Source organism: Homo sapiens, chromosome 4, assembly GCF_000001405.40.
Source record: "Homo sapiens chromosome 4, GRCh38.p14 Primary Assembly".
NCBI lineage: Eukaryota > Metazoa > Chordata > Mammalia > Primates > Hominidae > Homo > Homo sapiens.
This window is the reverse complement of record NC_000004.12, coordinates 37,477,629-37,489,748: the sequence shown is the minus strand read 5'-3', so window position 1 is coordinate 37,489,748 and position 12,120 is coordinate 37,477,629. Positions and strand designations below refer to the sequence as shown.

The 12,120-nt window shown below is 40.1% G+C and overlaps 1 protein-coding gene across 4 annotated transcripts in view; it reads right to left on the bottom strand.

Moving 5' to 3' along the window:
• PGCKA1 (PDCD10 and GCKIII kinases associated 1) overlaps window positions 1–12,120 on the bottom strand; it is a 140,256-nt gene that overhangs the window by 103,762 nt on the left and 24,374 nt on the right. The window contains exon 2 of one of the 4 annotated variants that reach the window (XM_011513712.3): window positions 2,290–2,348. The exons of 2 other annotated variants lie outside the window; for them this stretch is intronic. The gene's annotated coding sequence lies outside the window, so the exon portion shown is untranslated. Of the gene's footprint in view, window positions 1–2,289; window positions 4,215–12,120 lie in introns of those variants that run through there. One more of the 4 variants, XM_047415896.1, reaches the window with a different exon arrangement.

Here is a 12,120-nt window from a genome sequence, read left to right as displayed (position 1 = left end):
TTATTTATTTTTTGTCATCCCAGGTCTTCAACAACAACTGGCACACAGAGAAGGTGCTCAATAAATACTTTTTGCATTAAAGACAGAAAAATACATTGGTGTGCTCCTTACATAAGTTGCAGAACCATACCTCAGAGTCACCCACAATTCTCTCACCCAAAAATGTAACCTTATTTTTCTAATTTTTGTGTTTATGCTAAAACTTTTATAATTAAATGACTATATGAAGTGGAATGTTATATTATTGTATGTGTAATTCACATTTGAAAAATTAATTAAGAAGACTATCATCCTAGGAATGTGCTATTTTAGGGTGGTAAGCTATCTATGGCTAAAATCTCCCCAAAAGCTAGGGCAAAAAAACAGAGACATAACAATGATATAGAGCAAATCTTTCTCTCCTTCCCCCAAAATGAGACCATAGCATACATAAGAATTTAGTGTATGAAAAATTATAGAATTTCTTATACATGACTTTTATTTCCTTGTAGTAAGAGCACTTAACAGGAGATCTACATTCTTAAATTTTAAGTGCACAATACAGTATTGTTAACTACAGACATCATATTATACAGCAGATTTCTAGAACTTATTCATCTTGCATAATTGAAACTTTATACCCATTGAACAGCAATCCCCATTTCCTTCTTCCCCTAAGCCCCGGCAATCTTCCAGGACCTCTGCGTATACCAAAATCCATGCATACTCAATTATCACAGGTGGCCTGAGGAACCACTTAGGAAACCGCTTAGGAGAAGCTGGCCTTTGGTATATACGTGGGTTTCACATCCTAGTAACACTGTGTTTTTTAAATGGGTTTGGTTGAAAAAAACCCACTTATAAGTGGACCCATGCATTTGAACCTGTGTTGTTCAAGGGTCAACTGGAGGACTAAGGGAGGTTTACACTGGAAGAGTCAAGTTGTTAGGTTATGTTGATAGGAGATGGAAGAAAAGGTAGAGGTTAAAGACGGAGGAAAGCGGGGAGATAATCACTTGAAGAAGGTCTATCAGCAGGCCAGAGGTGATGGAACAGGATTTGTGAGCATGGGAGGGGAGATAGGTGAGGAATAAGGTAGACTGATGCTGGTATCTTCATCCAGATTTCCCAGGTGCTCTGGCAGGAGAGTTCCCACACTGACTTAGATTCAGACAGTAGAATGCAAGAAGAGAAAGGTAGAAGGAAGTAAGGCAGAGGTTATACTCTGGCTACTTCTGCTGCTTCTGTTGGCAAGCCTATGTAGACCCACAGGTTTTTGTTAGCAGTGTTCCAATATCCAAGTGCTTTGTGGATGTCAAGAGGCAGAATGCAGGCCGTTTGGGTTTTTTTGTTGTTGTTGCCTACATGGATTTATCACATGGCATGACTGTGGGGCCACCAGCTATCATGTGACAAGCTCGAGTTGCCTACAATGTTCCAAATCTTGATTCTCCCACTAATTCATATGCCAATGTGTCTTAATACACTGGTTTGAAACTAGTCTTTTAGGAAATACACTGCCTTTAAGCATATGGAAAATAAATACATTTTGGACCTAAAAATTAACTATTATTGTCTTATTTTACTATTGCTGTGTGAAAAAAATATTCTGGACTTGAAAGGATTTGGAAATTGCTCTTCCAAGAAAATTTAAGCCCAACAGGGCCTGGATGTGAAGGCTATGGAACAACTCTATGACCTAGCAATTTTCCACTCCTAGATATTTACACAAAAGTGCACATAAAGACTGGTACAGGAGTCTTGATATTAGCTTTATTCATAATAGCCCCAAACTGAAATAATCCAAATGTCCAACAATAGTAAAAAACACTGTGGTGTAGTCATACAATGAAATACTACTAAGCAATAAAAAAGAATGAGCAATAAAATATTATACTACTGAGCAATAAAAAAGAAAAAGAAACATGCAACATCAACAAAACACAAAACCAGGCTGAGTAAAAGAAGCCTTACACAAAGGAGGACATATGTATATATGTAATCATACAAATGTGTGATATAAATGTATGATTCATGAATATGAAGTTTTGAACAGGCTAAATTAATCTGTGGTGATTTTTAAAAATTAGAACAGTCATTGACTCCATGGGGCTGGGGACAAGGATTGATTGGAAACAGCAAGAGGGTTTTCCTGGGTAATGATAATGTTTTCTATATATCTTGATGGAAATTTGAGTTATACAGTTAAAACTCCCAAATAATACACTTAAATTTGTATATTTCACTGTATGTAAATTATACCAGGGTAGGATGAAGAAGGGAAAGAAGATAACCATAAAAAAAACTTACAGTTAATGCAATGCATATTGAAGTGCTGGGGTGAAATGAACTGATGTTTGCAACTTGCTCTGAAATACAGTTAAATAAAAAGATACATTACTTGATAGAGGGATGGTTAGATGGTTACATATGTGATCAGGCAAATATGAAAAATTTTAGTTGTAGATTTCAGGTGGTGAGTGTAGTTCATGTACAATTCTTTCAACTTTTCTGTAGCTTGAAAATGTTCATACAGAAAATAAGAGAGTGTGTGGGGGTCAATCTCTTTTTGCCTTTTTGAAATATTTCCTTAACCTTTGGGCAAAGAAACCTACTTCAAAACAAGCAAAGCATTTCATGTGGTTCTTGGCCCATTTTAATAAATGTATCTTAAGATGTCACTCGTACCATCTCCACCCCAGTAATAACCACCATCAATCACTCCCAGTGTAGACATCACCATTTCTGGATCACAGTGGTGATTACTTTATACATGCTATCTCTGTGTAGAGAAATTAGTAGCTTTCCTTATGGTTTAACAAAAAGCTCTAGGCTGAGTCACGTTTTCAGAACTTCCAGGCAGCCAGGAACTAGAACAAACAGGTGTCCAAGATGAAGATAATGTCTGTGACAGTAATTTTAGCAGACTGTATCATTCAAATATATTATGAAGGTATGGGACAATGTGCATGTGTGTGCATGTGTATGTTTTGGGGATGGTGAGCTGAAGCAAGAAGAAGGAAAATATATTCCAGAAAGAGGATAAACACTGAAAGTCCCAAAAAGGAACAGTAACTTCAATCTGATTTATATATGGAAAGAAAGCTTATTCCTTCCTCCTTTTTTCTCTTTCTTAAGCTCATGTCTGATGCCATATGATACTATCACTTGGCAAAGGGTTGACAATGGCTGCCCGAGTTTGGCAACGCTGGTTCTTTTGTGCCTTTCTTTTCTCAATAAACCTTTGACAAAGGCTCGGTGCTTGAAAGGTTGGGCTGTTTCTTGTTTGGTCTAAGTGTTTCTTGCTCGGCAGAATGATTAACTGTCTCTGAATGTCAATAAATAAGTGGTTTCAGTGAAGCTTTTTGAAATATATTTCCCTAAAGGGTGCTTGGTGGCAGGCCCAGGATTGACTTGGTTTTGTGTGAAACTAGGAAGTAAACAATGTAATTACCAGGCTGCCTAGTCCCCATGGCTCCTGATACCCACAAAGTCTCACATGTGAGAAGAGATCAGGGAAAAAAAAATCTTCACCTAAGAGTAGGAGTTAGAGGCTTTGAATTTCAGCTTAGATGGATAAAATGACAAGGTGCTAAAGTGGCAGAAGTTGGATTTGAACTAAGATTTCAGGAGCAATGGTATAGACGTGGCAGCACTAGAAAGAACATATGAGTTTAGTAAATATCTACTAGGAAAAAATAAGGCAATAAGTCTACCTTGAACAAAGACATATCCGTCTCAAATTAACTTATTCTGTGCTATGAATAGAGGCGATAATTCAAACCTGATTCATGATACGGTGCTTAACTACTGGCTATGTACAGGGGGAACCTGCCAGAGCTAGACTAGCTGTAATAACCCATGCCTACCAAGTTCAGGGAAATCTGCTCAGTTCCTTCTATTTTCATGGATCCCTGTCCTGCTATTAGGACAGGACAGTGAGCTTGTAGAAAAGCCAGGTCAAACAATATCTTCTTGGGAAGTAGCTGACTGACATGCAAACTAAACATCTTTTGACCATTATGTTAGAATAAGACAGTGGACACATTTCATAAAATGACTCAATTGGTGGTATTCAGGTTCCAAAAAGCAGTATGCAGATTCTGAGGCTTAATAGGATTTAAGAGGAAAAAAAAAAATTCTGGCTCTTCCTGTCTTTGTTTGTGCTGCTACAACAGAATACCTGAGACTGGGTCATTTATAAAGACCAGAGATTTATTTCTTAAAGTTCTGGAGGCTGGGAAGTCAAGGTCAAGGGGCCCCCATCTGATGAGGGCCTTCTTGCTGTGTCATTCCATGGGGGAAGGTGGAAGGGCAAGAGAGCACCTGTGACAGAGAAGGGAAGGGAGCCAAACTCATCCCTTTATCAGAAATCCCAAGATAACGAACCCACTCCCAAGATAATGGCATTAATTCATTCATGAGGGCAGAGCTTTCATGACCTAATGACTTCCTAAAGGCCCCACCTCTCAACACTGTGGCTCTGGGGATTAAGTGTCTAACTCATGAACTTTGGGGGACACATGCAAACCATAGCACCTTCCTTAACATAAACAATACCTGATCAGAAAACAAGCAGGAAGTTTTCATTGGTTTGTTATTCATTTGGGACTTAACTCCAATAAAGATCATGTGATGATATTTAAAAGACTAGCTGAAACTAGAAACATAGGAAACCTGAAGTCAAAGTTCCAATCACTTTGGGGCTAGTGGAGAATACAGAATATAAAATAGCATGCAACATAATAAATAAAATATTCACTTCTTAGATTGAATTTATGAGTTGTGGATATAACACATCCATACTGTTTTGACTCTCTAACCACTTTTCTTAATCTGTTCAGGCTACTTTAACAAAATACCATAAACTGGGTGGCTGATGAACAAGACAAATTTATTCCTCACAGTTATGGAGGTTGGGAAGTCCAAGATCAAAGTATCAGCAGATCTGATGTCTGGTGAGCTCTTACTCTCTGGTTTACAGATGGTGCCTTCTCATTGTGTCCTCACATGGTGGAAGGGGCTAGCTAACTCTCTGAGGTCTCTTTTATGAGGCCATTTTTTCATTGCTATAAAGAAATACTGGAGTCTTGGTAATTTATACAGAAAAGAGATGTAATTAGCTCACAGTTCCGCAGGCTGTTAGAAGCATGGTTCCAGCATCTGCTTCTGGGGAGGGCCTCAGGAAGCTGATAATCATAAGGGAAGGCAAAGGGGAGCTGGCATATCATGATATGCTCCCCACAAAGGCCCTATCTCCTTGATATGGTTTGGCTGTGTCCTCACCCAAATCTCATCTTGAATTGTAGCTCCCATAATTCCCATGTGTTGTGGGAGGAACCCCGTGGGAGGTAATTGAATCATGGGGATGGTTTCCCCAATACTGTTCTCGTGGTAGTGAATAAGTCTCATGAGATCTGATGGTTTTATAAGGGGTTTCCCTTTTTGCTTGGTTCTCATTCTCTCTCTTTGCTGCCATGTAAGATGTGCCTTTCACCTTCTGTCGTGATTGTGGAACCACAGCCATGTGGAACGGTGAGTCCATTAAACCTCTTTTTCTTTATAAATTACCCAGTCTCAAGTATATCTTTATCAGCAGCATGTAAATGAACTAATACACTCCCAATACCATCATCTTGTGGGTTAGGATTTCAACATATAAATTTCGGGCAGACACAGACATTCAGACCATACCATTACTTTACTAGTCAGCTGGTAATGGGATGAGTGAAGATCTTACTTTTATGTGGGAAGAGTGTTTCAGTTTTGTTTTTAAAAGCAGAATGATCCATGAACATAATCCTCTCAGCCATCCTCCCAGGAAAAGAAACAGAGAAAAGTCAAATGACTTACATTCTGAGTGGAGGGTGGTGTAAGAATTTGAACTTTAGTTCCCATGCATCTCACAAACTGCTCACCTCCCAGCCCACATAGATGAGACCTGGCTCTGTGGATGCTGGACTTCTGGACTGCTGGCACAGGGAAGCAGAGCAGAGTGGTGTTCACCTGGACTTAGGTGCTCTTCTGCTTCAAGGTGAAATGCTGGTTTCATATCATTAGGAAAAAAAATCCAGAAGCACTGCCTCTCTTCCACTAACACCTCCATCTTTGATATCTGCGTATAGGGGTGATCAGGAATACTGTTGGCTCCTTTTTCCTTATCCTTGTTGGTATGTTACAGGTTTACTAATAGCGAATCTAAGTAATAGAAATCTTGCCGTAGCATGTATTGGGACTCACCATGAAGAGTGCTGAGGATGGAGACATAAGATGACTCTTCATGACACTGGACCACCAGACCTTGCCTGTGGTGTAGGGTGTGGAGGAACAAAGATGGCACTGGCTCTAGAAAAGAGGTTTATGCCTCTAGGGTGGTGATGGGCTAAATGATGTCCCCACAAAATTCATATGTTGCAGCCTTTATTAGTCCATTGTCACGCTGCTAATAAAGACATATCCGAGACTGGGTAATTTATAAAGAAAAGAGGTTTAATTGACTCACAGTTCAGCCTGTCTGGGAAGGCCTTGGGAAACTTACAATCATGAAAGAAGGGGAAGCAAACTTGTCCTTCTTCACATGGTGTCAGGAAGAAGAATGAGAGCCAAGTGAAGGGGGAAGCCCTTTATAAAACCAACAGATCTCATAAGAACTTACTCACTATCACAAGAATAGCATGGGGAAACTGCCCCCATGATTCAATTATCTCCCACTGGGCCCCTCCCATGACACATGGGGATTATGGGAACTACAATTCGGGATGAGATTTGGGTGGGGACACAGCCAAACCATATCATTCTTCCCCTGGCCCCTCCCAAATCTCATGTCCTCACATTTCAAAACACAATCATGCCTTTCCAATAGTCCCTCAAAGTCTTAACTCATTCCAGCTGAAGCAACAGTCTAAGCTGTATGTTGGCCCCTTTTAGCCATGGCTGGAACTAAGCAGCTGAGATACAGGGCACCATGTCCTGAGGCTGCACAGAGCAGGTGAGCCTGGGCCCAGGTCCAGCCCATGAAAACAATTTTCCCTCCTACACCTTCAGGCCTATGATGGGAGGGGCTGCCATTAAGGTCTCTGACATGGCCTGCAGACATTGTCCTCATTGTCTTGGTGATTAACATTTGGCTCCTTATTATTTATGCAAATTTCTGCAGCTGGCTTGACTTTCTCCCCAGAAAAAGGGTTTTCTTTTCTATTGCATCACCAGGCTGCAAATTTTCCAAACTTTTATGCTCTGCTTTCTCTTGAATGCTTTCCTGCTTAGAATTTTCTTCTGCCAGATACTCTAAATTATCTCTTTCAAGTTCAAAGTTCCACAGGTCTCCAGGGCAGGGGCAAAATGCAACCAGTCTCTTTGCATAGCAAGAGTGACCTTTACTCCAGTTCCCAACAAGTTCTTCATCTCCATTGGAAACCACCTCGGCCTGGACTTTATTATCCATATCATTAACAGCATTTTGACCAAAGCCATTCAACAAATCTCTAGGAAGTTCCCAACTTTCCCACATTTTTCTGTCTTCTCCTGAGCCCTCCAAACTGTTCCAACGTCTGCCTGTTACCCAGTTCCAAAGTTGCTTCCACATTTTTTAGTATCTTTACAGCAGTACCTCACTACCCCGTATCAATTTGCTGTATTAGTTTATTCTAACACTGCTAATAAAGACATACCAAAGATGGGTAATTTACAAAGAGAAAGAGATTTAATGGACTCACAGTTCAGCTTGGCTGGGGAAGCCTCCAGAAACTTACAATCATGGCAGAAAGGAAAGTAAACATTTCCTTCCTCACATGGCAGAAGGAAGGCGAATGAGAGCCAAGCAAAGGGGGAAACCCCTTATAAAACCATCAGATCTCATGAGAACTTACTCACTATTATGAGAATAGCATAAGGGAAACTGCCCCCATGATTAAATTACCTGCCACCGGGTCCTTTCCATGACACGTGGGGATTATGGGAACTACAATTCAAGATGACATTTGGGTGGCGACACAGCCAAACCATATCACAGCCCTAATCTGCAGCTCCTTAGAAAGTAAATGTATTTGAGGATAGAGCCTTCAAAGAGGAAATGAAAGTAAAACAAAGCCATTAGGATAGGTCTTAAACCAACCTGATGTCTTTATAAAAAGAGGAGATTAGAACATGCAGACAACACACAGTATGAGGGATAACCATGTGAAGAGTCGGCAAAAGGGTGGCCATCTGCAAGCCAAGGAGAGAGGCCTCAGGAGAATCCAAACCTGCTGATACCTTGATCTTGGACTTCTTTTTTTTTTTTTTTTTTTTTTTTTTTTTTTTTTTTGGAGACAGGTCTTGCTCTGTTGCCTAGGCTGGAGTGCAGTGGTGCGATCTTGGCTCACTGCAGCCTCCACCTCCTGGGTTCAAGCGATTCTCCTGCGTCAGCCTCCCAAGTAGCTGGGACTACAGGTGCACGCCATCATGTCCAGCTAAGGTTTGTATTTTTTTTTTAGTAGAGACAGGGTTTCACAATGTTGGCCAGGATAGTCTTGATCTCTTGACCTCGTGATCCACCCGGCCCTAGCCGACTAACACAGGGTTTCAAACAAAAATGTGAAAAAATTTGAAATTGTTTTAAATAAAAAAAGCCCATCTTAGGCTAACTCAGTTGTCTCATGTATATTTTGAGGAAGTTAGTAATTGTTGCCAGAAAAAGAAAAGGGTAATCTAGGTTCAAATAATTTGGGGAAATGCTGGATTAGATAGCTAGCCAGGTTACTTTGCTGTAGGACTCCTCAGAGCCTTTAATGTGCTGACGTGCACATTATTAGCATGATTTATATGACCCGGTGTCATCCTTGACACCTCTGACAGAGCAGGAGCATCATCATCTTGGATAAGCCTCTTATTCTAAAGTTCACCTTAATAAAAAACTGCCTAAATCCAAAAGGCATCAGCCTAATGGCTAAGGTCAGCATGACCGTAAACCACAAATAACATTTCCAACCAGAAACATTCCAAACTCCTCCCTTCCCAGAGACATTCTAGCCCCGAGATAAAGCCCCCTTGGGGCGGGAAGATGCTAGCCTAAGATAACCCACCTCTGGGCTGGAAAGATGTCTGCCCCAAAATAATCCTCCACCCAGAGAGATTCCAACCCTGCCATGAACTTCTCCACACACAGAAACATTCCAAGCTTGTGACAAGCCCCCTCACCCTAAAACAAATATATACTCTTAGTCTGTAAGAGAAAGTGCTCCTGACCGCATTGGCTAGGAGCCCCTCTCAGTTTTTTTTGTTTGTTTGTTTTTTGTTTTTAATGGAGTCTCGCTTCTCTGCTCAGGCTGGAGTGCAGCGGAGCGATCTCAGCTGACTGCAATCTCCGCCTCCCGGGTTCAAGCAATTCTCCTGCTTCAGTCTCCCAGGTAACTGGGATCACAGGCACGTGCCAGCATACCCGGCTAATTTTTGCATTTTTAGTAGAGACGAGGTTTCACTATGTTGGTCAGGCTGGTCTCGAACTCCTGATCTTAAGTGATCCACCCGCCTTGGCCTCCCAAAGTGCTGGGATTACAGGCGTGAGCCACGGCACCTGGCCTCCTCTCAGGTTTTAACTAAAGAAAACCTGTCTTTAATTGCCAGCTGTGTTTCGTGTTTCCTTCCTCTTTAACTCTTACGACCTCCCTTTCCTCTTTTCATTTCTAATGCACTGCCAATTTCTGATGACTTTCTCTTTTAAAGATTCCTTGAATCATTCAATTCTATCTGATTCCCCACTGAAACTTGAACTGTAACATTGCCTAACACTTTTATTTTATAAATACTTCATGAATTAATTCACTTCTTTCTACCAAAATGACCAAATTGCCTATGTCTCTTGCTTAGTCTACTGCAAAACCTTTCTGACTGATCTGCCTATTGGATGCCTTCCAGTGAGTTCTCCACAGCACAAATGAAGTAATCTTGTCTAAGTTTAGGTCTGATTATAACAGCTTCTTGTTTTTAAAGATCTTTCAGTAGATTCCCTTTGCTTCCAGGATGAGAAGAAAAAATTTCTACCCATTCCTTCAAGCTCTCATCTTGAACTATCTTCCTCTTTGGGCTCCAAATTCATAGGTCTTCTTGTAATCAACCTCACACTGTGTTGCTGCTGCCTGCCACCGAGCCTTTGCACATGCTGTGCCTCCTGCCTGGTTAGCGCCCACTGCCTCCCTCAGATAAATCTTCCTTTACTTTCCTTATTGGATCAAATCTTTCTACTATTGATTCATATTATACTTGTTCCTACTGAAAATTTGCGTTTGTGTGATTATTTCATTAATTCTTGAATCTAACTCTTCTAGACTAAAAACTCCATGTCTGTGGAATACTCATTAATTTATGAAAGTTTGGGGAGGGCCTATCTGAAACACAATGTGAAAAAATTTTACAAAAAAAAATAAAATGAGCAAGAGTAAAGAAAAAAGGTTTTGGGTCCTTAGGAACATGTAGTTATTTGCTATAAATTAGCATCCTTTGAAATAAAGAACCCATCTGAAAAGCTGAATATAGAAGAGATATTAATATTGCATCTAAGTTCTGGAGATGAAATTAGATGTTTAATTTCTTAAAAATCTTTTGATTTTGAAAACTTTCAAACCCAGAAAAGACTTGAAAGACTAGTACCATGAACAGGCATATCCCATTAGTCAGCCTGTTTAATGTTTTGATGGTGCTCTGAAAATGCTGCTCTGTAGATATGACATTTTCTGCTTTGCTGTAGACAGTGTAATTCTGATTTTAACTTGAGAAAGCCATAAGACTAAGTAATTAGACTACTAATGCCAATACTGAAGGAAGAAAGGCTACCTATGCCTATTGGCAAATAATTAATCAGGATATATTTAAGACTTGACTTAAGGTACTGTGGGGGATGACAAGATGTTTACGGGACATACTTAAAAATTTATAGCCATTTGAGAAAAGAAGACACCTTCCCATGAAAAAATAATCATTGATAAAAGAAGTAACAAATATTGAGAGGGGGGAGGCAGAAAGTGGCCACAGAGTTAATGGGATGAGATTGCTTGTAGTTATTTGTCTTTGTAGAAATGGATTCCCTATGGACAACAGCACGTCTTGTTATCAATTTAATTTCCTTGACCAAAAGACCAACTCAGGAAAATAATTTTAAAAGGCACATTGTAAATAAGCATTTCCCCTGTGAACAAACAGAAGCGTAAAGAGTCTCTTTATCTGAGTTATATTTACATTATTTTAGTTCCTTGCTTGAAGGACGATCTAAAACAACGGGAAGTATTTGTTCCTTTAAGGGCCAACCTCTGTTTGGCGGACTTCAGCCAAATAATTAATCCATTTTTTTTTCTAACAAAGAATAGGCTACTATATTCACTTGTCACATCAAGTCAGACCTACATTAAGAGCCTTGGGAGAGTATGATTCCCAGTGAACTGGCTCCGGGCCTAGAGATCCGGGCACCATTTCCCTTATCAGCCATTATTTTCAGAGGGCTGTGTCTAGGCTAGGGAAATTGGAACTAGATAAATAATAAAGAAGACCATAACCTGGTCCAAAGGTAACATAGGAAGAAAAACATTGTGTAAATTGTGGGGCAGGGTAGGGGAGATCACTAATGGCAGCACAAAGTAAGTGGCGGTGGGGGGGGGTGTTTTTAAAATAAAAATAAAAAAATTAGTACATTTGGGCATTCTCCAATCCATACAAGACTGGAAATCGCCTTTGGAAAGATGAGCTCTTCAGGTCCAAGTGATCAATTTAGAGACGATTTTGTAAAGATGCAGTTTTTGTATGTACTTGGTGTAAGAACTCGGTTCTCTAAAACCTAAGTTCTAAAATCAGATTTTCCAACCTGAAAAGGAGCCAGGGAGGGATACTGCTCGCAGATCACAGGATAATTTATGTCTTTAATTTATGCTTTGAACTCATATTTTTTCTGGGTTTTTCCCAATCTGTACATATTTTAGAATTAGAAAAAAACCTAACTATTAAACAAAGACCAGGGTTGAAGTTTCTTGTTTTTACCCACAGGAAGACTGCTACTGTAGGCAAGGTAAATTCCCAAACAAAAGCTACTGGGAAGTCAAAGCCTAGGGATTGGTTGGCATATCTGTGATGGGGTAATTAACAGATGTCTATTGATCTCTTGTCTAAAAACTTTTA